This window comes from Homo sapiens, chromosome 15 (assembly GCF_000001405.40).
Source record: "Homo sapiens chromosome 15, GRCh38.p14 Primary Assembly".
Lineage (NCBI taxonomy): Eukaryota > Metazoa > Chordata > Mammalia > Primates > Hominidae > Homo > Homo sapiens.
This window is the reverse complement of record NC_000015.10, coordinates 65,619,033-65,644,896: the sequence shown is the minus strand read 5'-3', so window position 1 is coordinate 65,644,896 and position 25,864 is coordinate 65,619,033. Positions and strand designations below refer to the sequence as shown.

Sequence of the window (25,864 nt, the reverse complement as noted above, 5' to 3'; positions counted from 1 at the left end):
CACTGTCCTTGTACAGAAGAGACAGGAAGAAGAAATAAAGTCCCACAGTCTCATTTGGGATGAGATTTAGCAAAAAGAAGTGGGAGTTCAACAACCCCTAGCCTTCCCTCGCCTACCCCAGCTGTGGAAAACGGAGAGGAAGCTGTATGGGGCCACTCTCAGACCAGCGGCCATGTCAGAAAGACAGCACCTGGGAAGGAAGAGTCTGGAGTGGAGCGGCGATCAGGGCAACACCCTACCATCACTCTAACTGACTGGCTCACAGAGGCCAAAGATGTGCCTCAGCCCCTGGCCTGGCTGGCTGCTGCCTCCAGGCCAAGCTCACTACTGACAGCAGGGAGAGGGGGGCAGGAGAAAACCCACTGGTCTGGCCATCCTCTCACCTTCTGGTTTGCTTTCTGCTTTGGCCTGGGGTTGGGCTCTGGCCCCTTGATTCAAGCTCTCCTCCTCCTTCTCCTTGGCAAGGCGAACTGCAAATGAGACAGGACATACATCTTACCTGGAATTGTAGGATCATCCCTGCCACGCCCTTTCAGTTAGGACAGTCAGCTGAGCAGCCAGAGGGCAGCTGCAGAGTGTGGGAAAAGGCTGCCATGGGGGTTGTGACATCTGGATTCTGATCCTACGAGGCCTAGTTGTGGTGCCTAATTCCCAAAGTTCTGTCTTACATTCTCTGCATTGTCACTGACTGGCTGTGACCTTAGGGTAAGTCATTTCCCTTCTCAAGGCCTATTTCCTCTCTGGTAAAATGACATGGTTGGACTCAGGACCAAGAAATAGGATTTATTTCCTTTACAAGCTCAAGTGATGGCCTGCTTGGGTACTGAATTGAGAAGGACTCTGACCCAAACTTTGTAGAAAAGTACCATGATTGATTGGTAATGTCTGTGATAGACATGGAATGGAGAAATAATTGCAGGGAGATGTTTTTGCCATCCTTGGACTATATTATCTTTGTAGCTTACTTTCTATGAATCTACTAGAGGCTTTGTTATAGCTCCAGGGGGACGGCTGATGGCCATGTTCATAAGCCTTCCCTCTCCAGTGGAAAAGGGGAAATGGTTCACCAACAAGCTCTCGGATACACCCTTTTTGACCCCAGGCACAACAAGAGCCCGAGAAGGGCCTCCTTCAGATCCCTATGCACATGCTTTGCTGGAGGCCCACAGGGCAGCATGCACAGAATTGTGCTGCCCTGATTTCCAGGTGAGAAACACGGGACAGGCAACTCTCTTTAACTGGGACTACGTGCCAGGAAACATGCAAAGCACTTTACGTGTATAATTTCAAGGTGAGAAGGGAAGAAGGAACAAGGCTGAGGTGAAGGAGTCCACAGCTGTGTGGCCTGGGAGGGCGAAGGCAGTGGTGCAAGTGAAGAACAAAGTGGTGTCATGGGATCTACGGGCTCTATTCTGAATTTAGGCTGGCTCTGCCCCATGAGCACCGGGTGACTTTGGGAAGCCTGTGTGCCGGCACTAAGCCTCAGCATCCTCTCTAAAAAGGCAATACCGTCATATCCTCAGGGGACTGATGTGATGAGGATCCATGAGACAAAATAAATAAAAACACTTTTACTGCTGCAAATGCTGGCCTCACTCATATTGTTCCTTTAGCACAATTCTGAAGCCTGATGACCTGGGTTTGAATCCTAGTTCTGCCACTTGCGCTATAGCTGTGGACCTAACTGGGTGATTCCTTAAGCTCTCTGTACTTCAGATTCTTCATCTGTAAAATCTTCCAGAGTTGGTGACAAAGTAAATGAATTTATACATGAATATGGTCAAAACAGTGTCTGGCACCTAGAAAGCACTCTATAACTTTTAGCTGTAACAACAACAACAACAATGATGAAAACAAATTGACAAGAGTAGTTGAGAGCAGCTGTCCTACCTGGGAAGCACCCCACAGTGATGATGCCCGGCATCCCAGAGGGTCCGAGTTAGAAGGAACCCTGGAGATCATCTAGTCCATAATACAGACGGACTGAGAGGAAACGGAGAAGCTGGAAAGTGCAATCTGGGAAGCTGGGTGGATCAAAGGCTCTGCCTGGCTCCAGGACAAGCAGGAAACAGATAAATGGGTCTGGAATTTCCTCCTCTCTACCTGTCTCCTAAACTCTCAGTTAGTTCAGCTGCAGCTGGCTCTGGCAATAAGCTCCATGGGTAGAGCCACTATGACATGTGTGGTCCCTCGAAGTGGCCTGGTGGGCCTGGGTCCTCATCAGAACTGAGAGGTGGGGGGCCAACACACCTTCGTCCAGACAAACCCAGTGCCCCCTTGGCACTAATCAAACCCTGAAGTCTTCTGTTGAGCAATGTGTAGCTGCTGTCACAGGAGGGCTCCCTTGGTTCTGGTCTTGGCACTGAGATTATCTGCTGGCTGTTGCTGGAAGGGCTAGCCATAAACACAAGCTTCCCCCTTTCCTTCTCATCCTCATCACAGCCTAGACTCTCACTTCCCATGTTACTGAGGAAAACAGGTCAGCTGCAGGGTCTCCCCCACCCTGTCTCACACACATCCAAGTGAAATCACCAGAAAAGCCATGGGACCCTGGAGAGGATAAGCCCCTTCACAGGGAAGGTGAGAGTTCAGACCCCAGGAAACATCTTTTCCACGGATCAGCTCTGTGGAAAGAGCTGGAACACCTGTAAAGAGTGGAAACATCTGGACGGCCATCTGGAAACAGCATACAAAAACACAAATGTGCATCTAGAGAGCCTGGGGAACAAAGGCCCTCATCACAGCCCTGCATGGTCCCCACCCCTCCCATATGTCATCTCAGGGTGTAGAATCAGGCTGGGCTCTTGAGCACGACTGAATCCCAGAGGACATCTGCAGTCACGAGAGCCATTCCATGCCCCAAAGACACCCAGAGACAATGTACCAGCATGCTTGTCCTCCCTGGGATGATTGCTGCTGGCTCCTGGGCACTCGTTTCCTCACATGCCTCTCCCCTCTCAGCAGGGCCGGATCATGGCTTTAGCATCAATCTCCTCTGACCTCAGCCTGGCCTGAACATCACATAATCCTGTTAGGACAAGTAGGCCAGCTGGAGGCTGTTGGTCATGGAGATGCCCAGCTGGGGGCCCTCCAGTCCCACCCAAGAGGTCTTTATCATCAGGACTTTGCTAGAGTCAGTGATTCCTCTGGGAGTAGCCACTGATGACCCAGAGATACAGCTTTCCTCATGGGGCCCTGGCCAGAGCACCCCGGCACTCATCACCAGAGGCTGTCAGGGGCTGCAGCTTCCATTCTGCAAACCCCAGAGGTACTATTTTTCTAGAGCTGACATTTGGGGATGGCCTCTCTCACATGTCTGCTGAGGTTTACCTTGAGGAATTGCTTTTTATTTTTTCTTTTCTCTCTCTTTTTTTCCTAACAGCTCCATCAGCAGCTTAGATTAATTTTTTTCTCCCTTTCTCTCTCTCTCTGTTCTTACCTTGAGGAATTCCTAAGGAAGGTTTCATCACTTGTCTTTGATGCAGCTTTTCACAGTATGGTTTATTTATTTATTTGTTTGTTTGTTTGTTTGTTTATTTAGAGATGGTCTCGCTCTGTCACCAGGCTGGAGTGCAGTGGCACGATCTTGGCTTACTGCAATCTCTGCCTCCCAGGTTCAAGCGATTCTCCTGCCTCAGCCTCCCAAGTAGCTGGGACTACAGGTGTGTGCCAATTTTTGTGTTTTTAGTAGAGACAGGGTTTCACCATGTTGCCCAGGATGCTCTCGATTTCTTGACCTCGTGATCCGCCCACCTTGGCCTCCCAAAGTACTGGGATTACAGGCGTGAGCCACTGTGTCCAGCCTTTTTAAAAATTATTTATTTATTTATTTATTTGAGGTGGAGTCTCACTCTGCAGCCTAGGCTGGAGTGCAGCGGTGCAATCTCGGCTCACTACAACCTCCACCTCCCGGGTTCAAGTGACTCTCCCGTCTCAGCCTCCCAAGTAGCTGGGATTACAGGCGCCTGCCACCACGCCTGGCTAATTTTTTTTGTATTTTAGTAGAGATGGGGTTTCACCGTGTTGCCCAGGCTGGTCTTGGACTCCTGAGCTCAGGCAATCCACCTGCCTCGGCCTCCCAAGATGCTAGGATTACAGGCGTGAGCCACCATGCCTGGCTGGTATTTTTTTTTAAAACAACTGACAACCCAATATTGTCTCTGAAAAGGACTTCAGAGCCTAAAGAAAATTCTGAGCCCCGAAAATTTGTCCTTGAGCCAGAAAGGTCAGTCAGAGTGCTCCCTGGGACTCAATGGATCATTCTGTGGTGTCATATTCAGCTCAGCCCTCAGCCCTCCTGCCCAACTGCAGTCCAAGCCCTTGGCTTTTGCACAAAGGCTAGCATTTCCTTGATGGGCCTCCTGGCTGGGTTCCGGTTCTGCACCAGAGCCCCAGAGATGGGGAGGCTCCAGGAGAGCAGGAGAGTAGCTGAGAAGTGCCCTTTAGGGGTCTGAGATGCATGTTGGGGGCAGCTCTCTGGGGAAGAGAAGCAGAAGGCAGGATGTGGTAAGGTGGACAGTGAGAATCTCAGCCGCTGCCACCATTTGTCAAATTGGACAACAGCCCCCACTATACTTTGGACCCTGCTCTTACCCTCGTCACCCTTAAAAGGGTCCTGGCAGTTTCCAGGGTGTCCTTTGGGATTCCAGACTTGGGGAGGAGTTGGCAGGTTTCCTAGGACTCCAGAGTTGAATATAAAGCAAAAGGAAGTGCCACTAAGAACTTCTGGGCTTTGGGACCCTACAAGAGGCGTCCCCAGAAGCAGCCCAGGCCAGTCAGCCTGGGCTGAGCTGCTTGGCTAGACACTCTCCATGGAACACTGGGGCTGACTCCTGGGCAGTGGGCTTTGCAGGGCAGCCCCATCCCAAATCTGTGCAGAGCACATGGTACTCACAGCCTAACTGCAGGTTAATGCCTTCATTTTACAGGGAGGGACAGAGGCAGGGAAGTGGGATGTGGATACCCAAGGACCTTAGCCTCCATGTTCTTTGTTGCCCTCTCTTGGTGAGTCCCCTGTCTTGGTCTCTACCCTCTTTCCCAGACTGTCTGACTTTTACTACTTTCCTCTGCTTATTATCTCTTCCCACTCCCTCCTCACTGCCTCTAGGATTTTCAGGTCCCAGTTCTTCTCCAGCTGCAGGAGGGAAGGAGTGGATGGGGCAAACCACAAAGGTCTGGAGAGGCCTTGCTTACCTTCCCTCAGGGGGTCCAGGCTGTGGAGCATGAGCTGGTAGATGGTGCTGCGGATGGTGCTGTTGTGCAGAGAGGTCGAGCTGCTCCCTCGGGTCAGCAAGGACGGGAGCTGAGCAAGAGGAGAGCCGCACAGTGGGCCCCTGTCCAAGCCAGGGGAGGAACCACACGAGGGCATCACTAACCTTGCCTCTTTCCCATAAAGATCAGGGAGAAAGCACAGATGCCTTATCCTGACCTCCCCTCTTCCTCCACCTCCAACCAGAAGAGTTACACTACTTTCTTTCTCAGCCTCCCCTCAGCTCTTCCAGGACTATTTTGTTTTAGGTACTGAATAATTTCCCAACGTCTCCACAGGGAGCAACCTGGTGTATTAGGAATATCACGTTATGAAGGGTTTGCACATCCCTGCAAGTACACCCTCAGAAACACTCCCTCACCCACACACCACACAGACAGACCCACTGCACATGGCTACAGCCCTTTACAGTCCACAAAGAGCATTATCACGTTTTATCATTGCCCCACTCCCAGAGACAAGCAAAGCTATGATCCCCATCTATGGAAAGGGAAAGGAAAACTCAAAGAAGCTAGGTGCCTAAGCCAAGGTCATGCAGGAAGTAAATGAAAGAGTCAGACTGGTACCCAGGTCTTCTGTGGTCTTCTGATTCCCAGTTTTCAGTTTTGTTTTGGTTTTTTTTCTGCCCATGTGCTCAGAGACCCTCACAGGTACACACATACACACACATCTATACTGTACAGACACAGATGTGACACTTATTCATAGTGACACATATAGAAATATCATCTGATTTACAATGGAACATCCAAAGACAACGCTTCCACACTTGCGGAGTCCTCCCTCCCTTCTCTTCTTCCTCCCTCCTTTCTTCCCCCTCATCCCTCTGATCTGAACTCTTCTGCCATCTAGTGGTTGTGGTGACACTACTTCACCACAAGTCAGAGATTTTCTTTGGATGGGGGAGGTTCTTTAGGTTCAAGTTCGGAACTCCTTTCAAAGTTCCCCATAATTCTTTCCAGATACTTCATAGACTATAAACAGCTAAGACACAGTTTTTCAGAAACCTCAGACTCCTGTCCTCTCCAGTTCCCCTGCTATCTTTCTCTTAGTTCTGGGGCATTCCAAAGCCATAGGTAATCTGGCTTTTATATCAATCATACAATGTTGGGCTGTACATTAGGACTTGAATTCATCTAGTTCAAACAGTCATTTTACAGATGCAGAATCTGAAGCTCAAGGTCACACAGCAAGCTAATGGCAGAGAGGACTGTAACATTCCAGACTTAGCTCCCAAACTAGCACCTCCTCAAAGGCCATCTAGAGGTGAGAGTTCTCAGAAAAAGAGCCCTCTCCTCCCTTGCCTCACCCTGGCAGCGCTCCCAGGAGTTTCCTAGGCCTGAGCACAGCCAGGGTCCCCAGCACAGGGCCACAATACCCTGGGCCTGTGATCATCCACTGAGACCCTGCAGTGTCCCCACTGGGCAGACTCCATACGGCACCCACCTTCAGCTTCTTGTTATCCTGTAGCTCATCCACCGCAATGGCCCCATCGCCCGGCTGCAAACAGGGAGAGGAGTCACGAGATGTTGTGGCGAGACCCTCACTTTCTCCCTACATCCCTTTCTCCACGGAAGTCCTCAGGTTGAAATACAGAAACACACTCCGAGATAACCTGGTCTCAGAAAATGTTTCAACATGTTCCATCCCTCCAGTCTGACCTTCTATAATCTGGCTTCAGCCTGCAATGCAGTACCCCCAGTCGAATCTGTCCACTCACCATAGTCCAGTGGCACCAACTGTCTTTGGGTTTCTGAAATGTGCCATCCTCTTCACCCACCTCAAAACCCTCATCACAGGGCCCCTCGCCCCCTGTCCGTAATGCTCTTTCCCTCCTCAGGCTTCTGGTCTCCACTTAAGTGTCACCTTCCTCTGGGAAGCCATGTATAATTCTTTTATAGACCCCTGTTCTTTTCCTTCACTGCACTTTCCCCAATTTATTTGTGGAAATAAGTTGACTGCCCCACTAGCATCTTGAAGGTAGACTGTTTTATTCACCACTGTGTGGCCAGCATGAGAACACTGCCCAGCACTTAGCAAGAGCTCAATATTTATTAAATGAATGAATAAATGAAAATCAACTGTCCTCTAAATACACTTAATCTATTCTAAGTCTTGTTCCCTTGTTCATGCCTTTTTCTCCTGCCTAAAATGCCATCTCCATTCCTTTCTGCCTACTCAAATCTTATCCATTTTTTATAAAATTCAGGGTGAATTCTTGTATGAAGCTTTCCCAAATGCCCCTTCCATGCCCCCTCCCACCCTCCCTTCAGCTCATTACAATACCTCTCTCCTGGAAAGCTGTATAACAGTGAACACATTCTGTGATACTAAAATCAGCTGTGTGCTCAGGTAAGTGCTAGTGTTTTGGGAAAGCTATGGGGCAGCCAGCTGGGAAGTGGGACAGCCCTAGACAATCCAAGATGAAGAAGCATTAAGCCTGTGTATTTACTGTCTGAACCACTAGCTTGCCACTTTACACTCACAGTCTTGTAATATCATTTGAACTTTTTTTTTAAAAAAAGCACTGTTTAACTTTTCACTGCATGAATTGTCTACCAGCTACATGTAGACTCTACCTTTTTTTTTCTTTTTTTGCCACGCAATGAACTTACAGTTATCTGTTTCCCTTCCTTGTGGCAGTGTCTTACTGAGAACAGGAGGTGCTCAGTAAAGGTGAGCTGAATGAGTAGACACTCCCAAGTGAGTGACCTTCAGTGCTTTTGGGATTACTATTATTATTATTATTATTATTATTATTATTATTTTGAGACAGAGCGCTGGAGTGCAGTGGTGCAATATCGCCTCACTGCAACCTCCCCCTCCTGGGTTCAAGCGATTCTCCTGCCTCAGCCTCCCAAGTAGCTGGGATTACAGGTGTTTGCCACCATATCCGGCTAAATTTTGTATTTTTAGTAGAGATGGGGTTTCACCATGTTGGCCAGGCTGGTCTCGAACTCCTGACCTCAGTTGATCCACCCACCTCAGCCTCCCAAACTGCTGGGATTACAGGCATGAGCCACTGCGCTCAGCCTTATTATTTTTTTAGACAGAGTTTTGCTCTGTTGCCCAGGCTGGAGTGGAGTAGCACAATCATGGCTCATTGTGGCCTCGACCTCCTGGGCTCAAGCCATCTTCCCACCTCAGCCTCCCAAGTAGCTGGGACTACAGGTGCGTACTACGACACCCGGCTAGTTTTTGTATTTTTTGTAGAGATGGGATTTCACCATGTTGCCCAAGCTGGTCTCAAACTGTGCCCAAGTGACTCACCCACCTCTGCCTTCCAAAATGCTGGTATTACAGGTGTGAGTGACTGGCTACGTTTTTTTGTTTTTTGTAGATACTGGGTCTGTTTATGTTGTCCAACCTGGTCTCGAACTACTGGGGTCAAGCAGTCCTCCTGCTTCACCTCCACAAAGTGATGGGATCACAGGTGTGAGCCAGCACATCCAGCCTTTAGTGTTATCTTTAAGCAGCAGGATCACAAATAGCTGCCCTCAGCAATCGTCTTTACCTTCTCATTGCTTCCCTCACCCCACCAACCTCCATGGCTAAACCAGAATTGAACTTGCTACACTCCCTTCTTTGTTCAGCTCAGAAAATATAGAAAATAGTGCTTGATCTAGGGCCACTCAGCCATCCCTCCAACTTATTCATTCATGCAGTTCTTATTTACTGAGAACCTGCTATACTATTTACATGGTGCTATTCTGGTGGCTTTAGGGATACAAAGATGCTTAGGACATGGATTCTGTGTCCAGAAAGAAATTGAGGCCAATGATAATACAGATGCATGACAAAGAAGAATGTGGTTCCTGAAATAAAAGGCACAGATAGGTGCTATGCTGTGATGGGCAAGGAAGCTTTCTGAAATAGGTAGAATTTGAGTAAGCTTTGAAGGATTGGGAGAGGTTTGAATGCTTGGATACACATTGCTAAATGAATGAATGAACATAAAAATGAATGAAACAGAGTATAAATAACCAATCTGCATATGAAGGGGGCACTGTGCATTTTAAGAAATCCCCCCAACTCTTTTGTGACACACCTATAAGTTTACTGGGATTTAAGAGGCTACAGCACTGAACCCATTGGCCCAGCCATCTCACTATTTCTCACATCCAACCCTCACCCAAAGAGTTCTTTCTTTTTTTTTCTTTTTTTTTTTTTTTTTTTTTTTTGGAGACGGAGTCTCACTCTGTTGCCAGGCTGGAGTGCCTCCCGGGTTCAAGCGATTCTCCTGCCTCAGCCTCCCGAGTAGCTGGGACTACAGGTGTGCACCACCAGGCCCAGCTAATTTTTGTGTTTTTAGTAGAGACTGGGTTTCACCATATTGGCCGGGATGATCTTGATCTCCTGACCTTGTGATCCACCCGCCTCGGCCTCCCAGAGTGCTTGGCCAGGCGTGAGCCACTGCGCCTGGCCAAGAGTTCTCTTTAGAGGCAAAGAACTGTGAGGGTCCCGTCTACACTCTAGGGTGGATGGTTCTGTACACCGAGGGGTAGGAGAGACTGATCTTTGCCCCATGGTGCACACCCCTAATGGTTTCTCTGCCATTCAGATTTATTCAAGCCAAAATACCTTTCTAAGGATTCATTGTTCATGGCTAATTTCAGCATGCACTTCTAACTTTCTGAAGCCTTTCATATCCATTTTCTTATTTGATACGACCAACTCTGTGAAATAGACAACACTCATATTATTGTAGCTATTTTGCTAGATTAGAAAACTGAGATGCAGAATGATTCCATCACTTACCCACACTCACAAAGATGGTGACAGAACCCTGTCTTCTTCTCTTTTTTTCTTTTTTTTCTTTTTGTTTAGCACCCTGATCTTATCTTCATTCAGTTTTTCTTTTTCTTTTTCTTTTTTTTTTTTTTTTTTGGTGCTTTTGATTTGGTTTTACTAAATCCCATTTATTTTCCCAAGCATAAATAAGGAAATGAGGTCAAATCTATATTCCCTAGTGGCTCTATTTCATATTTCGACATTTCAGGCAAATGGACATGAATGTTTGTCAACATTTGGGTGTGGCTGATGAGTCCATTTATGAGTAACAGCACTGGAAAGTAGGTGCTTTCTGAACATGCCCTTTTCACAAACACATTCACCTCTCACATCACAACATTCTCCCTGCTCTTTCTTCAGCCCAGTTACCCCCACCTTCTTCTCCTTACAACAGTTAGCAAGAGGCTGAGGTAACAGAAGAGGATGTCTTCATGCCTCTTGCTGAGGATGAGCAATGGGATCCTTTGCAGCTGTTTATAGGAACTTCAGGTGGCAAACCATGGTAGCCCCTAGTGGGCTTGTCCTCCTGACCTCCATTTGCTATTTCCCACTGATACAGCAATTCCTCTTCTCAACCATCCATAACACATTTCCTGAACCACACGTTAGTCTTAAATTTTTTTTTTAACGTTCATTCAACAAATATTTATTGAATCCCTTGTCCGAGCCCTGCCTTCACTCAGCTTCTCTCAGGTAGAGCACACTTCACTTTAGCCCTTCACTGAATACAGTATTGCATCCCAATCCACTCCATTTGTCTATCCTGGAAACCCAGAAGTCTACCCAAATTCCTCCCTCTCCCTCACAGCCCACACCCAATTAGCTGTCAGACCTCTTTCCTGAGAGTTCTCACATTTCGCCTTGTCTCTGCACTCTCCTGCCTATAGTCCTGCACAGCCTCCTGACTTCTGATCTGTTTCTCTTCCAGCACATTCGCCACCCCTCAGCCAGAGTGGGTTTCTGAGCAAAGCACATCATGTCCCTCCCAACACACTGGGGGCCCCACTGTCACCCAGTAAGAGTCTAAACTTCTTAACTTAGCACAGCCTCCTGCTTACTTGCAGTCCAGTATTGTCCAATAGAAATATAATGCAAGCCATATATGTAATTTTAATTTTTTAGTAGCCACATTTTTTAAAAGTGAAAGAAACAAGTGAAGTTAATTTTTTTATTTTTTGAGATGGAGTCTCACTCTGTCACCCAGGCTGGAGTGCAGTGGCAAGATCTTGGCTCACCACAACCTCTGCCTCCTGGGTTTAAGCGATTCTCCTGCCTCAGCCTCCTGAGTAGCTGGGATTACAGGTGCCTGCCACCACATCCGGCTAATTTTTGTATTTTTAGTACAGACGAGGTTTCACCATGTTGACCAGGCTTCTCTCAAACTCCTGACCTCAGATGATCCACCCACCTCAGCCTCCCAAAGTGCTGGAATTACAGGCATGAGGCACTGTGCCCTGCTGTGAAATTAATTTTAATAATACACTCTAACCTGATATGCCTGAAATATAATTTCAACATGTAATTAATATTACAAATATTGGGGTGTTTTACATCCATTTTTTCAGACTAAGCCTTTGAAACCCAGTGTATATATTAAACTCAGCACATCATGAATCAGACTAGCCGCCTTTCCAGGGCTCAACAGCTGTATGCAGCTGGTGGCTACAGTCTCTTATTGCCCTCTCATTTCTCTGGTTTTTGCACATGGCTACGAGACTCCCTAGCCCTTGTATAGTCAGTGAATTCCTGCTTGTCCTTCAAGATTCAGCTAAGTATCCCCTCCCCTAGGAAGCCTTCCCTGACCCTCTGGTGTGTTGAGATGTCGGCTCTCTGCAGTACTAAATCCCTCAGCACTTACCTATACCATTACACGTGATAGTGTAAACTACTGCTTTACTTATCTGTCTTTCCCACTGAGAAGGATTTACCATGGAGATGATGAAGCTTAAGCTTCAGGGCTTGTCACTCTCCTACACAAATCCCTTCCAAGGCTTGCACCTAATTTTGTGGCAACAGTTTTATATTCTTTTTCTTAGTGAGTATCAGGCCCCACAAAACCTAGATTAACTCCACCTCTTCCATTAGACTAAGCTCCTTGAGAGCTGGAACTGTGCTTTATTTATCACCATATGCCAGACCTACCACAGGCCTCATACAAAGATGTTCAATGAATGTTTGCTCAATGAATGTTGGGGTTCTTGAGGGATTACTCCCAGACTATCTGTCTTTCAGAGTAGCATCAGCCAGTTCTTGATTTTAATTACCATACATTTGTTGGTGATTCACAATTTTCTGTTTCCAGCCCAGACTTTGTTCCTGGGCTTCAGACTCATTTGTGCCACTGCCTCCCAGATACACCCACTTGGAAGTGACCTAAGCACCCAAACTCACTATTCCAAAGTGTCTCCCTAAACTTATTCTTCTTTCTCAGTGGATGCCACTACCATCCACCCTGCTGCTCAAGCCAAAAAGATCAGCATCATCCTTGATTTTCCTGATTCTCTCACCCTCCATATCCACTTCACACCAAGTCCAGATGATTCTGTCTTAAAACATTCACAAATACATATACATATAAACAGCCCACAACAGCCTCCTAACTGGACTCCCTGCTTCCACTCTTGCACACCTACAATTCATTCTCTACTCAGCAGCTAGGGAGGACTCTCATTACTTCATTCCCTTGTTGAGCTTGAAATAAAATCCAGGCTGGGCACGATGGCTTACACCTGTAATCCCAGAACTTTGGGAGGCCGAGGCAGGCAGATCACAAGGTCAAGAGATCGAGACCATCCTGGACAACATGGTGAAACCCCATCTCTACTAAAAATACAAAAATTAGCTGGGTGTGGTGGCGTGTGCCTGTAGTCCCAGGTACTTGAGAGGCTGAGGCAGGAGAATCACTTGAACCTGGGACGCGGAGGTTGCAGTGAGCTGAGATCGCGCCACTGCACTCCAGCCTAGCAACAGAGCGAGACTCTGTCTCAAAAATAAAAATAAAATAAAATCCAAACTCTGTATCTGATGCACAGGGCCCTGCATGGAGTATTAGGCTGGTACAAAAGTAATCGCGGTTTTTGCCATTAAAAGCGAAACTAATGACAAAAACCACAATTACTTTTGCACCAAACTAATAGCTCCCACCCTCTTCTCCAGTGGTATTCTGTACCCCTCTCCCTATTACTCACTAACCACACTGGCCTTTATTCTTTCCTCTAATGTGCCAAGCTCTCTTTTCCAGCTCTGAGCTTTTGCAAATGCTGTTCCCTCTTCCAGGAATTCTTGTCACTGGCTATGGGGTGGTTTCCCTTCTCATTCTGCAGATCTCTACTTGAAATTCTCCTCCAAGAGACCTCCTACACTCTCCCTCACTAAAGGGGGCCCACTATTATTTACAATCACTCTCTATCACATGCCCTGTTTATTTCCTTTATAGTACTTGTCATATGCTGAAATTAACATCTTAGTTTATTTTACTTGTTTTTCATCCATATGTCCACTCCCCCACACTAAAAAAAATTCTGTTGGTTGCATATTTCCAATTAATTCAGGTGGCAGAGCATCTAGAAATTATGCTGTTCTTTGTAGAACACCATGAATATCTAATTTCATATTGAATCCCATCATATGCACTAGGAGAAAATATTACTGGGTTGTATGAATGCATGTAAAATCTCAACTACAAGCTTACACATATCCATGAAAACAACAAACTGTTAAACTAGATGTGATCAGATGTTTGAGTTTTTCTGTTAATATTTGTTTATTTCTCATGCATTCATTTTGTCATCTGCTGGCACCCACTAGCAGGTGAACATTGAAAGCTTTTTTTTTTTAATATTGTGGTTAGGTTTTAGTTTTGTTTTGAGACAGAGTCTTGCTCTGTTGCCCAGGCCGGAGTGCAGTGGCATGATGTCAGCTCACTGCAACCTCCGCCTGCTGGGTTCCAGCAATTCTCCTGCCTCAGCCTCCCGAGAAACTGCAATTACAGATGCGTGCCACCACGCCTGGCAAATTTTTGTATTTTTAGTAGAGATGAGGATTCACCATGTTGGCCAGGCTGATCTTGAACTCCTGACCTCAAGTGATCCACCCACCTCGGCCTCCCAAAGTGCTGGGATTACAGGCGTGAGCCACCGCACCTGGCCAAAAGATTAAGAAAATTTTATGAAGAGAAACCCTAAAATTGAGCATTCAACTCTTACCATCTTTTCCTGACAATTAGAGGGAAACTGATTATTATTCAAAGAGTCGAAGAAGGGAACCCCTCAGCCCAGGCTACAGTGGGCCCTTTGGCAGCACAGTGAGTTCCCTGGAGTCTAGTGTAGGCAGGACCCACAGAGGCAGGGGGGGTTCTCGGCGGCTGCTTCCTGCACACAGCCCCTTGCCTCCAAAGCAGGTAGCTGGCTCTATAGGTCACTGATAGAAGCCCTTAGGATAAATGCCAACCCTGATAAGAAAAGGGAGGACCAGCCCCTAAACAGGCAGCAGGTTTGTCTGCTTGAGGTCTTGTTGATTGGTTTAATTTTTAAAATCCTGCCAGGGACCAGGCGTGGTGGTGGCTCACACCTGTAATCCCAGCACTTTGGGAGGTCAAGGTGAGAGGATTGCTTGAAGCCAGGAGTTTGAGACCAGCCTGAGTAACATAGTGAGACACACCTCCATATCCTCCCCCTCCCCACCTTCTCTACAAAAAGTTTTTTAAATTAGCTGGGTGTGGTGGCATGCACATGTAGTCCCAACTACTCAGGAGGCTGAGGAGGGAGACTGCCTGAGTCTGGGAGGTCAAGGCTGTAGTGAGTCGTGCTTGAGCCACTGCACTCCAGCCTGGGTGACAGGGCAATACCTCATCTCAAAAATAAATAAAAAAGTCCTTCCAGGATGAAAATAGCCCCCAGTGCATTTAGGAGAGAATAGCAGACTTTTCCCCAGGAGTATTCTCGAGGGAAGAGTGTGGGTACGGAGCTTCCAAAGGAGCCCCAACTAGGCTCTTTTCTCTGCTTTGCATCCCTTTTTGCCATTGGCTTTCCACAGGACTGTCTTGCTAATCATACACCTCATGTAGATGGCTGGTGCTTCCTGGCTAATCTAGTCAAGTATAAAGAAGGGCCCCTGCTGTCCTTCAAATACCAATAATGCTTTTCAGCCAGCCTAGCGCCTCTGCTTTGCTGTCTGTTGGCTTTCTGTGACTATGCATGGTCAAGGCAGGTCAGAGATTTATCATTTTTGGCCAGAACAAATACACTGAGAGCTTCAAAACCAAGTATACTTGAAAACTAAGTTTCAGAGAGACAGCCTGTGTTCAGAGTTAGACTGTGTTGATAACTATGCAAACATTTACCATTTCCTTACTGGGGTCATAAAAGGCATCCTCAAACCAATATATGTCAATCTGACGATGTTGTCCAAAATATTTTTAGCTTTGAATTTTTTTCAGCCAGTATCAAAAGTGAGACTCTAAAATACTTACTATATGTCTATGTCAAATACTAAGTCCTTTATTTTTTTCTGGAAATATTCTTAAGTAAATTCTGATTAGAATCACTCCTAAAACACCATTATCCTGATTCTAGATACTCAGGGCAGAATAAACGGTAAAGTGAAAGATGCTCCAGCTCAGAAACTCAACAGCTATCAGGTGGGTGAATATCCAGTAATAAAATGGATTGTTCTCCGCTGATTGTATGTTTCCAAGTTGCTCAGGAAGAAGAATACCTGCAAGTATGTTGCTCTTACTAAAATACCACGTGGCCATTCCAATTAGTTTATTTATTATCTGTAGCTGCTTTCACACTACAAGGACAGAGTTCAGTAGCTTTGACAGAGACTATATGGTTTGCAAATCCTAAAATATTTACTGTCTGGCCCTTTACCGAAAAAGTTTGCCAACTTCTACATAGCTCATCCATTCACTTTACAGACGAGCAACCTAAGTCCTGTTTGAAAAGCAAAGTGGCTTTGTAGCACTTTGCACAGGGTTCACTTCATTGCAGTTAATTTTCTCTAGGCTTGTCCCTTCTACTGGATACAATCTTTTTATTTCCCACAGTGGCTTTCATTTAACTTAATAATAATGGTTTGTTGTATTGCATTGACTTGCCCAGGGAAACAGGAATAGTCAGCAATGGAACCTGGCTTAAAACCCAGATATCGTGATTCATGATCAATGGTAAGGATCACCAAGTAGCTGTGTAACTTTGGCTGAGTAATTATCCTCTCTGAGCTTCAGTTTCCTCACCTGCAAGATGAAGGTAATCCATTCCTTGTATGGTTTTATGAGAAATGTTAAGACAATGTATGTATGGAATAGGCTCTCCGTAAGCATGGATTCTCAACCCCTGACTCCTTTGTCTCACTAAACTAGAGTTCTGGAACTTTTAGGATTACCTGAGGAAACTGAACTAAATACTTATGGAACTTCTTCTAAGAACAAGACACTGGGCTTGGCCCTTTAGGAGGCACAAAAATTATTTCCCCATTTAGTGGCAGTGATAAGCCTGATGTGACCAGACTTATGATCTGGTTAAAGGGAAATAAGCATCCTTGAAGGGGTGATGACATTTAAAAAATGCTAAAGGGGCCAGGTGTGGTGGTTCATGACTGTAACTTCAGCAGTTTGGGAAGCTGAGGCGGGAGGATCACTTAAGACCAGGAGTTTGAGACCAGCCTGGGCAACATGGTGAGGTCCCCATCTCTACAAAATATTAAAAATTAGCTGGGCATGGTAGCACATGCCTACAGTCCCAGCTACTAGGGAGGCTGAGGTGGGGATTGCTTGAGCCCAGGAGTTCTAGGCTGCAGTGAGCTATGAGTGCACCAGTGCACTCCAGCCTGGGCAACAGAACAAGACCCTGTCTCTTTAAAAAAATTCATACTGGATCTATTTCAACAAATAAGAACAGAGATGTAATCATCACTGTGCTTACTAGTTGGCAAGGAGTTGCTACTAAAGCCCTTGAAGAGTCCCTTCAGTAGGTTATGTATTCTCTTTTGAAATGATGATTATGCTTCATTTGTCCTGCAAGCTTTGCTTTGATGGTCAGAGTTTGTAGAGTCTAAATAAAAGCAGAATTACTATGAGGGACTAGGAAGCAAGTCAGAGGCACTTTGGAAACTGCTGGCCTGTTGTACACCAAAGCATTAGGCATTTTCTTCAGAGGAGAATACCAGGACTTCATGGCCACCCCTGAGAACTTAGCAAGGCCTGCCCTAAGACCTGCATTAGGAGGGAGGTTCCTGTTTCCTTGTATTAAATTCTGTAATGCTCTAAGCCTCTCTTTCTTTTTGAAGCCTTTGGCTTCATGGAGGACAGTCTGGTGGGAAATAGCACTGAATGGGGAGTTAGGAGACTGGGTTCCTGTTCCAGTTCTGATACCTGCTGGCTATATGACCCTGGGCAGGATATTTCCTTTTTTGGATCATCTGCAAATGACACAATAGAAGCTCAGTTGACCAGATCAGACAAATAACCATTGCATTGGGTCCTGACAGAACTGAACTCACTTGGACACAGACATTATCATAGAATGTTAGAGTTAGACAGGACCTTTCAGTGATTAGTTGGACTCTGTCATTTCTCCTAGAGAGGGCAAAGGACCTGTCTATGGTCACACAATTCATTAGAGGCAGAATCAGATTAGAACTCAGGTTTCCTGGCTCTCTATTCCGTGCTTTGGCCAGAACAACATGTTATCTAAAAAGTCTAAAGGAAGTGCATTTAATCTCCCTTGCCTCAAATATCTCACAGACACGTTGCTGAGTTTGGTCTCCATTCTGCTCACTCATCAAAACTGCTCTGGATTAAGTAGCTAAGTCCTTCCACTCTGCATGCAAAATTCTGCTCACACCAGCGGCTTCTCTGAGACCTGGAATAGGCAGGCTGTGAGCCAACCCTTACCCAAACTCACCCTTTAGGAGCAGGAGAGAAGTGGGGTCCGTGTTCCCTAAGGTACCCTCACTTTAGAGTCTCAAGGAACAAAAAACTTGGAATGATCCGGGTGTGGTGGTATGTGCCTGTAGTCCCAGTTACTCCCAACCCAAAAAACCCAAAAAATTTTGGAATGAATTTTCAGAGATCACTTCTGCAATTAATAATCTTTCAGGTTATTGAATCATCCAATGAATTTAACAGGAAGGTCCCTCAAGCGGGCAGAGAAGTTCTTGGAAAGGAACTTATGGGTCAGGAGAAAGCCCAGGATTAGTGCTCCTGGTGTCTGGTCTCCAGCGGGCACAGAGAGAAGGGCTCTGTCCCCAGGGCTAGCTTGTCAGTGGGTGAGTAGAGCTCCCATCTTCTCTAATATTTTCAGAACAAAACAAAAATATAAAACCCTCCCCCTTCTCAGACGCCATCCAAGCCATCAGCCCCTCCAAGTCTGGAATGTGAACTAATGGGATTAAATGAAAATGAGGGTGCTAGCTAAACCCTGAACGCCATGCACATGGAAGAGATGATCATTTTTCCTCGCCTGGCATCTTCTTGGACATTCTCCAAAGCCCAACTCAAATGTCATTTCCAAACACCTGGTCGCACCAACCCAAGTTCAAATCTTGGCTCCACTGCCTATTTGCTGTGTGACCTTGAACATGTGGTTTAACTTCTTTGGGCTTCGGTTTTCTCTCCTGCAAATGGGGATCATAATATAACCAGTTTATAGGGTGATTAGGGGTTGAGCCAATGTCATGCTTACAAAGGCCCCAGCACAGTGCCTGGCAGAGAACAGGTACTCTATAAATGTTGAATAAATAGTAAGGGAACCAGAGCATTCATCTCTTGAGGTCTGATCCAGCACCTTCTCTTCAGGTCCTGGCTTCGCCACATCCTTTCATCTCAAAGGGGCTAGAGAAACCTGAGCCAATTTGTCCTTACCTTGCTGAGGTCTTCTAAGGCCATGACCTTGGCCACTGGCCTCCTGCTGAGCTGCTCCTTCACCCAGACCTCGATATGCTTGTTCCACTTCATGGTGAACACATAGAAGGCATAGGCCAGCAGCAGCAGCAGGCTCTCCCACCAGGCAATGAGGCTGTCCAGGAAGAAGAGGATGAGCATTATCAGGTCAAGGATGTAGAAGGAGACATCACGGAATAAGGGCCACCAGGTGAGGTTGAGGATCTCTCGGGAGAAGAGGGAACAAGTGCCAATGACAAAGAGAATGTTGAACACAGCAGAGCCCACAATGGTACCAATGCCCACGTTGCTGTGGGAAATGAAGACACCGATGAGGGAGGTGAAGAGCTCAGGAGCAGAGCCTCCAGCAGCCATGAATGTGGCGCCTGCCACATCCTCGGAGATCTGCAGCTTGTCTGTGATGACACCCAGGGCTGGAACGAAGTACTCGTCGCAAACAATGGCCAAGGCCACAAACACATACATCATGCCAAAAACGTGCAGGACCACCCAGCCCTGCCGCCGCTCCTCCACACTGAACAGATCTGGGGGGTACTCTCCCTTGGGGTGGAGGTCTGGCAAGCTGGGAGGCAGCACTGAGGGACTAGGACTGAGCTCCTCTGGGAGCAGGGCTGTTGTGAGGCTTGGGGAGGGAGTGGTGAGCATGGCTGGGGTTGGCTTCACAACCACACAGTGATGGACCTGCATGGTCAGCTTTGCCCTGACCGTAGGGGTTGTTGAGGTGCTGGGTGCTGTGGAAGGTTTCTTTGCCAGCCTCCAGACTATGGCTGGGGCTGTTTTGATGGCTGATACACTGGTCCTGGGTGAAGGATTCCTAAGACTCCAGGCAGCAGTGAAGGCTTTGGTTTCTGCTGGGCTGCTGCCTGTCATGGTGCTTATTGTCACCTGCCCCTCAGAGGTGGCTGGGGTATGCAACAGGACTGTTCCCTGGGGAGTCTTCGGGTTGCTCTTTCCCACTAACCCCCAGGGATGGGCTGAGCTGTTACTTTCCACTCTTCTGGGGGGAAACAGGTTGTTTTTTTCCATGACGCTCCTTGGAGAAGTCAAGACGTTTGCTTCTACCTCATGTGTCAGAAAAGTTGGGGTGCTATCAAACATTCCCTTGAGAGTGGTTGGGGTGGTTTCCTCCATTATTCTCTTAAGAGAGTTGGTTTCGAGTATTTTATAGGTTGCTGTAATGTCACTGTCTTTCACTGTTGTCCTGGGGGTGATCGCATGGCTTGTTTCCATTGTCATGAATGTGGACGGCACGTAAGTGCCTACTCTTCTACCACGTGGGGAAGGAGTATACTTCACCTTTTCCCTCACTTGAGTTGGGCTGTAGCTCTTCATTTCTCCCCTGGGTGTTGGGGTATACTTTTTTACTATTTGTCTGCTTGAAGTTGAGGTGTAGTAAGTCAGTGTTCTACTGGATGTTGGGGTGTCTTCCTTCCTTCTTTCTGTACCTGCTGCTGTTGGGCTGTAATTATTCTTGGTTGTTGTTGGGATCATCTTGGCTGTTCTTTTAGGCATACTGGGGATATTCTCCACTGTCATGCTCAGTGTTGCTTCATCACTGCCCACTGAGGCTTGGGGTACCAGCATCTTACCCCCCATTTCGGAGCTAGGTTTTGAAGGGCTGCTGCTCATCATCATCATCTCTTCACTGGAGAGGTCCCGACTGGCCAGTTTTATAGGCTGATGAGAAGAGACTGCTGCCCACAATGAGGAAAGGCCCCGGGGTCTCCTAAGGTGCTGATAAGTAGAACCGATGATCAACATTCCCAGTAAGAAGAGGAGGCGACTCCAATGAAGCCGCTTTGTCCGGAGTAACCACCTCTCTTGCGGCCCCATCCTGATCAATTTCCCCATGCTGGCCAGTTATATCTGGTTACAGAAGGCCTCTCATTCTGTCCTAAGATGGAGGCTACTCTGGGATTCAGGTTGGTGATCAGAGAAGATTTCTCCATGAAGCCCAGCCAGGGGGTATCCACAACCCTAGGTGGGTAAAAAAAAGAGATTATTTACCACTAAGAGGAGATCTGGGATCCATAACACCCTCATATAGAAAAAAGTGATAATAGAAGCCCCAGGAACACAAAAGTATCATGCATGGGGTCTTTGCAAGAGTAAACTACTCCTGCCCCCTGCTCCAGAGGAAAATGCCTACTCTTAAGAGAAAGAGTGCCTAGGGGTCCTCTGTACTATGTAGGCATGCCAGCCCCCCAGGTTCCTGAGCTGGAGCCTGAGTGCACTATGGAGTCCACCAAGTCCTCCCTGGGCTCTCAGCAAAAGATCTGCCAGTACTCTTCAGGTCCAAGCCTAAGATCCTGGGAGCTCAGTCATCCATAGCTGGTGTCAGGCCACAGGTCTCACCTTATCAAAGGCAGGAAGGAGGTAGGGAGATATGGCTTTAAGCTATAGACAAAAAGAGGCAGCAGTGGAGGGCATTGCCAGGGACATTAAGGCTCCATGTATTTTTTTGAACTGACTTAAAACAATTCCACCATCCAGAGTGGGCAAAGCTTAAAAGTTAATGTTATAGAGCTTCCCAGAGAATATGGCATGGTGGGAGGATCATGGGGAATGGAGTTGAAAGCCTAGACTCCCTGTTCTGCTGCTTACCAGCTGTGTCATCCTGGACAGGCTGAGCCTTGGTGCCTCATCTGTGAAATGGGCATGATAACATATATATTGTTTATGCAAAGATAATCTCTAGAAGGACATCTGGGGAAGGGAAACTGAGGATCAAAGGTCAGAAGGTGACTTATTTTCACTGTATATTCTGTTAGTTTGACCTTTTTATCATGTGCATGTTATAATATTTTTAATTTAAATTAAATTAGAATATGAATAATAACAGTGTCACAGGAATGTTGAGCGAGTAAAAACATATGAAAAGCATTGAACAGGCTGAGCACGGTGGCTCATGCTTGGAATCCCTGCACTTTGGGAGGCTGAGGTGGGCGGATCACTTGAGGTCAGGAGTTCAAAACCAGCCTGGCCAACATGGTGAAACCCCATCTCTACTAAAAATACAAAAGTTAGCCAGGCGTGGTGGTGCATGCCTGTAATCCCAGGTACACAGGAGGCTGAGACAGGAGAATTGCTTGAACCTGGCAGGCAGAGGTTGCAGTGAGTTGAGATCATACCATTGCACTCCAGCCTGAGCAACAGAGCAAGACTCTGTCTCAAAGAAAAAAAAAAAAGAAAAGCACTGAACAGAAAGGTTAGTTTTATACAAGAATGAAGGAGGGAAGAACATGAAAGGCCCTCAAAGAATCCTCATTTTATAAAGAAGGGCATTGAGGCCCAGCCCAAGTAACTATTTATTAAATCTCTAATTAATGTCCACAAACTACTACAAAACAATAACTGGAAATGATTAGTTTTGCATATGATATATTAGAAGTGAGCTGAGTAACCCATGGAATCTGTCTGGTACAACTCCTCATCTGAGATATGAAAACACAGAGGTCCAGAGAGGAGATGTGACTTGCTTAACATCACACAGCTAGTGAGTAGCCAAGCAGATGAGCCTCCTAACTCCCCTTTCTTTCTTGCATGCCACACTAATCAGAGATGCAAAGGTACTTGTCTTAAAAAGCAAGAGAGGGACAAGCAAAAGGAAAAGTAGGAATAAGTGAACTTCCTTCTTTGTCCCTGATTTCTATAATTTTCTTTCCACTATCTCCCTGCAGCCCCCCGATCCTTGCCATGAACTCAACACTTTGCAGCAAGCCCACTCGTATCCCCAGCAGAAATTTCAGAGGGTCTCTCTCTTTCTAATGTTCCTGTGTTATGTAACAGAGCTGAACTGGCACCCCAGCTGATCCCTCCTACCTAATTACATCATTTACCTTCAGACCTTGACATCTGGCTGTCTTCTCAGCTCTGGAAACTTGTCAGAATCCAATATCTCAAAGAGTGGGTCTGAAGCTGGACAGCAGGGAACACCCCATTCTCCTGCCCCCAGCTCTCCTATGGAATCCTAATTCAAGGCAGGGTCGGGTGTGAAGGGCAGCTCAGGGGAAGAATATCCGATCGTGGCTAATACCCACCTCCTCTAAGAAGCTTATCAGGGCATTGTACAAGTTCTGGGTCCCGGTACACCTGACCAAGCCTGAGAGAGTGGGCCTTCCACCAGGGACACAGAGGGGCTCACTGTGGGCCCACAAAGTCAATGGAGGAACTGGGGAGATTTCTCAAACTTGTTTCTAAGCTATGAGAATGAGAGGTGGTCTAGGGTTTCCATGCTTAGATGGTGGAAAGTTTTGAAAAGATTCAGAAGGCGCTCTGAGAAAACGAAGGGAAAGTGACTGGGGCTTAAGAGATCAGAAGACCTCAGTTAGCATTAGGCTCGACTTGCTACTGTGTGATTCTAATGTAATCTAAAAGTAAATGTGGGGATAATAATACCTGTCCTTCCTATTTGTAAGGTGAATGTGAGAATCAAAATAAAAAACAAAGATTATAGAGAAAACACCAAGCAAACTTCAAAGCAATTCATACCTGAAATCTATTTTATTAGGCCTAAAGGAAATCCTTGGTGTAGAGGGCACTAATGGATCTCCCCAGAGCAGGCTGGGACATCCCAAGATACCTGAGGAGTTGGTGCCCTGAGCCCCCCGCGCCTCCAGCCCATGACTTGGAGCTGATCAAAGTGGGAGTAGGGTAAGGTAGTGGGGATCTTGTGATCCTAACCATTGATCTGGAAGCCCTTTCAATCATTCAGCTAACTCGGCCTGACATTTACTGACTGCCCCTTTCTCCCTTTCCTGTTTCCTCCAGAGTACCTGGGTGCATGATGCTTTGGGTTACTTTCATCTGAAATAGCAGTTAATCCTCACAGCCTCACCTCTACCCTGCTTCACCTTGAGTGGCCTGGAACAGTAAGAAGGTCACGAGCTCCCTCTGCTGAAGCCCACAGAAGGGCCCACCCACTGTGGAAGAGCTGGCTTCATCTCTGAGTATGCTGGGGTCACTCTGGATGTTGGAAGCCTGGGATCAGGACCTGAGGTCTGCTAGTTACATGTCCTTGCCTTTATGCTGCTGTGGGCAGAACAAAATCTAGTTCTTTCCCTTTTCATGCCACTATGTAACACAGTCTCAATCTGGCCCAGAAAGATGAAAAAAGGAATATAATTCACAAAGTAAAATGAGTGATCTTTTTTCTGAAATAACTCCTCTATTTTTACAATGTTGTTTATTCAATATAAAAAATTCAGGGGAGAAGGAAATCCTCAGAAAAGTGATTCCTTTCTCTCATATGTTCATAAATGTTGCCAAGGAGTTCTTCCTGGTGTCTAACCTAAATCCTACCCGCTGGGGGTAAACCCAGTTTCTTCTGTCTTATTATCATGGGATTCTGGCACATTTTGAAATTCAGCAGGAAATTTGGCTGCTCAACCAAGAATGGAAGCATCCTCTGTACTAGCCATGTGAGTTTGGACAAGTTATTTAACTTCTCAGTGGTTATAAACCTCTCATCCTGTAAAATGAGGATGATAATGACATTACCTGTTTGATAGGGTTGTTGTGGGGATTAATTAATTTGTAAAACATATTAATAGTGCCGGGTACTATTGTTGTTTTTCTGCTTTTAGGTATCACAATCAGATTGTGTTAGAGGGGTCAGCAGGTTTCCATGCATTTCATTGTTACAACACTCTACCGTGTATTTATTTGTGCAATCACCTGATTAATGTGTGCAACTCTTACTAGCGGGTGAACTCCAAGAAGACAGGGAACTTGCCTGTCTTATTCACCACTGAATCCCCAGAGCCCAGAACAGTGCTTGGCAAGCAATGAATGTATTTAATAAATAAATGAGTTTATTTATTTATTAATATTATAAATAAAGTTATTTATTAAATACATTTTATATATATTAAATATAAAAAGCATAACCCAGTGAGGAAGATGCTCAGAGATGGGGGCCCTGAGCTACACATGGATGGAGAGGAGAATGCCCACTCAAAAAGCTCATGATCTTTTGAGAGCAAATGGATGGAGAATGGCCAGCACCACTGAGAAGAGGAAGCTGATCTAATTTGCTCTACAAAATTGCCTCATTTTATACCCTCCCCTGGAACAGGATGGAAGAACAGATGGGGTAGATCTGGCTCTGACCCTCACGATAAGATAAGGGGGTGAGGAAGGCAGATCTTAGAGCTTTGGCAGGACGGCAAGGAGGCCTTTCCTTGCCCTCCAAAGCTCTAGGCCTTTCCTAACTTTTATTAAAACAGAAAGAAGAGGGAACGAGACTTTTCATCTGATGTGGAGGGTTTGTGGCTAAGGCTGGTTTATTTCTGGGTCTACATCAGGAGTTGCAGCTGACTCTACAGTTGTACAGTAGAAAGTAGACAAGATTTGAAAGCGTCGCAAATTTTATTTCTTTTTTTTTTTTTAATCTGGCAGACAGCAAGCATTGATGGGTTGCAAATTTTAATGCCTTTAGGTCCCGGGTAGATAAAATTAAGTTACATCAATCATTTTCTAAGTAACTGGAGCATGCTGGGGGCTATGTCTGGACAGAGAATAAATGACCCACCAATAAGTATTCCAATGTCAAACAATTTAAAAATATTAGGAAGCAAACAAATGAGTCTGAGGGCTGAATTTAACCTACAGGTACTGCTTTGCAACCTCTAATAAAGTAACAAGTCTGATGAGGAGCAAGCCTAAGGTCTCTCATTCTCAGGCTCCTCATTTATGAAACCAGGAAAGACAAGCTTCCTTATGGAACTGCTGTTAGAGTAACAGTGAGAGAATCTGTGGAAAAGCACTTTGATCTGTCCAACCTGTACAATGTCACGGCCTAAGACCTTTTGTTTATATTGTTTTATTTGTGCATATTATATTGTTTATAGGATTAAAAATGGCTGTACAGTTGTCACTGGTGGAAAACAACAAAATAA

The 25,864-nt window shown here is 46.2% G+C and overlaps 1 protein-coding gene and 1 long non-coding RNA gene across 31 annotated transcripts in view, besides 1 other annotated feature; one reads left to right on the top strand and one right to left on the bottom strand.

The window, feature by feature from the left end:
• Window positions 1-25,864, bottom strand: part of SLC24A1 (solute carrier family 24 member 1) — a 49,653-nt gene that overhangs the window by 16,106 nt on the left and 7,683 nt on the right. For 14 of the 30 annotated variants that reach the window (XR_007064494.1, XM_024450103.2, XM_011522219.2 and 11 more), the window contains 4 exons: window positions 18,927-20,942; window positions 6,716-6,769; window positions 5,194-5,302; window positions 384-470 (listed from right to left, as the gene is read on the bottom strand). Coding sequence is in view for 29 of the 30 variants with exons in the window: in XM_024450103.2 (XP_024305871.1) it covers window positions 384-470; window positions 5,194-5,302; window positions 6,716-6,769; window positions 18,927-20,816 (2,140 nt within the window). In the remaining variant the exon portion in view is untranslated. Of the gene's footprint in view, window positions 1-383; window positions 471-1,890; window positions 2,019-5,193; window positions 5,303-6,715; window positions 6,770-18,926; window positions 20,943-22,804; window positions 22,960-25,864 lie in introns of those variants that run through there. The other 16 variants (NM_001301033.2, XM_047433325.1, XM_047433326.1 and 13 more) reach the window with 6 other exon arrangements.
• Window positions 13,128-13,257: a silencer, noted in NCBI's record as "silent region_6557". NCBI's record gives its function as "represses an Ori minimal core promoter by ATAC-STARR-seq in GM12878 lymphoblastoid cells {active_cell/tissue: GM12878}" and the evidence as "EXISTENCE:reporter gene assay evidence [ECO:0000049][PMID:35858748]".
• LOC102723464 (uncharacterized) lies at window positions 20,938-24,103 on the top strand. The gene is made up of 2 exons (XR_932375.3): window positions 20,938-23,618; window positions 23,736-24,103. It is a non-coding gene; the product is annotated as an uncharacterized LOC102723464 (long non-coding RNA).